This window comes from Homo sapiens, chromosome 1 (genome assembly GCF_000001405.40).
Source record: "Homo sapiens chromosome 1, GRCh38.p14 Primary Assembly".
Classification (NCBI taxonomy): domain Eukaryota; kingdom Metazoa; phylum Chordata; class Mammalia; order Primates; family Hominidae; genus Homo; species Homo sapiens.
Window position 1 is genome coordinate 50,332,888 of NC_000001.11, and position 1,428 is coordinate 50,334,315.

Below are 1,428 nucleotides of genomic sequence, written 5' to 3' on the forward strand. Positions count from 1 at the left end.
CTGGGCCCCCAGCGCTGGTTTGGTAGACCCCATCCCCACCCCGCCACCCCGTCACCCCACACCCAGAACCACACCCAGAACCAGAAACCAGCTAAAGGCCAGCTGGGGCGCCAGACGACTCGCCCTGCCCCGTCGACGCCCCAGACGGTGTTGCCGACCTCCGCCCCGCAGCGCTGGTGTGGGCGCGGCCGGACCTCACTCAGCCTGCACTGCCCCGCGCCGCTCGCCGCGTCCACACTGTCCTTGGGAGGACGCGCGGGGAAGCCGCGCACGATGCGGCAGCGCCCCCTGCCGGGCTCCGGGCGCTCCGCTCCCAGCCGGCTCGGCGAGTGCTCCGGGAAAGGGGTCCGGACCCCACACGCACTGGGTTCCAGGACAGGCTCTCGCTCGGGCTGGGCCGACTCTGGCCCGCCTAGGCCCCGGGCACGCTGCAGTGAAGGCGGTACCCTCACCACAGTCACAGAACGTGTCGGCTGCCCGCGCGTCCTCCCAAGGACAGTGGACGGGAGCTGGGGCTGGAGAGGGTAACGACCTGCCCAAGGTCACACAGCACCGCAGTGGCACAGCCAGGACTGGCACCCACACCTCCCGCGGAACCTTGCAGGGGCCCAAACCACCTGGGTTCTAGAGCTCCTTGAACTGGCCTCTTGGGCTTTAGGGAAGAGCTGGGGACGAGGGAATGGGGTGGGGCCACACCACATTAGCACGGACCCTTGGGTGACTTGGGCGGAAGACGGGGCGTCAGGGCCGCCTGCGCGCGCGTGACCTCCAAGGGTCCTTCTGGCGCTCCTCCGGCGCTGCGTGCGGCGCTGGGCTGCGGCTCACCCGACACACCGGCGGCAGCCGCGGCTGCCCCCTACTGGCGGAAGGAAGAGTCGCCGCTCCGGGGCCCTTGGCGGCCGCCGCTCTTCGCGCCTCCTTGGCCTGGCTGCCACCCTTCCACCCTCGGGGGAGACCCCGCGCTCTGTGCTCACTCGGGGAAGAGAGGCTCAATCACGGCCTGGACCAGCACTAGGGACCTAAACGCTCTTCTCAGTGTGCGTGAAGCCAGGTCCTCAAATCCGCCTTCAGTAAGAGCAGCACAGGGTCGTGGTTAAGAGCATGGACTGCAGAGCCCGACTGCATGAGTCCTGGCTCTGCCTCTCCTCAGCTGTGTTACCTTAGGCAAGTTACCAAAACTCTGTGTGTCTCAATTTTTGCTACCACAAAATGAAAATAGTACCTAATACATAGACATTGTATGTATGTGAACGCTTAATTTAACTGCATAGCAACCCTATGACGTTGATACAGTTATTCCCATTGAATGATGAGCCACAGACAGGTCAAGTAACAACCAAGTTTCCGCAGGAAATAAGTGGTGGAGTTAGAATAAAAATCCAAGTAATCTGGCTCCAGGATCCCTGCTTTTATACACCATGCTAGACC

The 1,428-nt window shown here is 63.4% G+C and overlaps 2 annotated features.

Annotated features, from left to right (window-relative positions):
- Window positions 1-501: an enhancer, noted in NCBI's record as "H3K4me1 hESC enhancer chr1:50798560-50799060 (GRCh37/hg19 assembly coordinates)". NCBI's record gives its function as "activates a minimal SCP1, AML or CMV promoter by ChIP-STARR-seq in naive H9 embryonic stem cells {active_cell/tissue: H9 hESC(naive)}" and the evidence as "EXISTENCE:reporter gene assay evidence [ECO:0000049][PMID:30033119]".
- Window positions 185-384: a silencer, noted in NCBI's record as "silent region_862". NCBI's record gives its function as "represses an Ori minimal core promoter by ATAC-STARR-seq in GM12878 lymphoblastoid cells {active_cell/tissue: GM12878}" and the evidence as "EXISTENCE:reporter gene assay evidence [ECO:0000049][PMID:35858748]".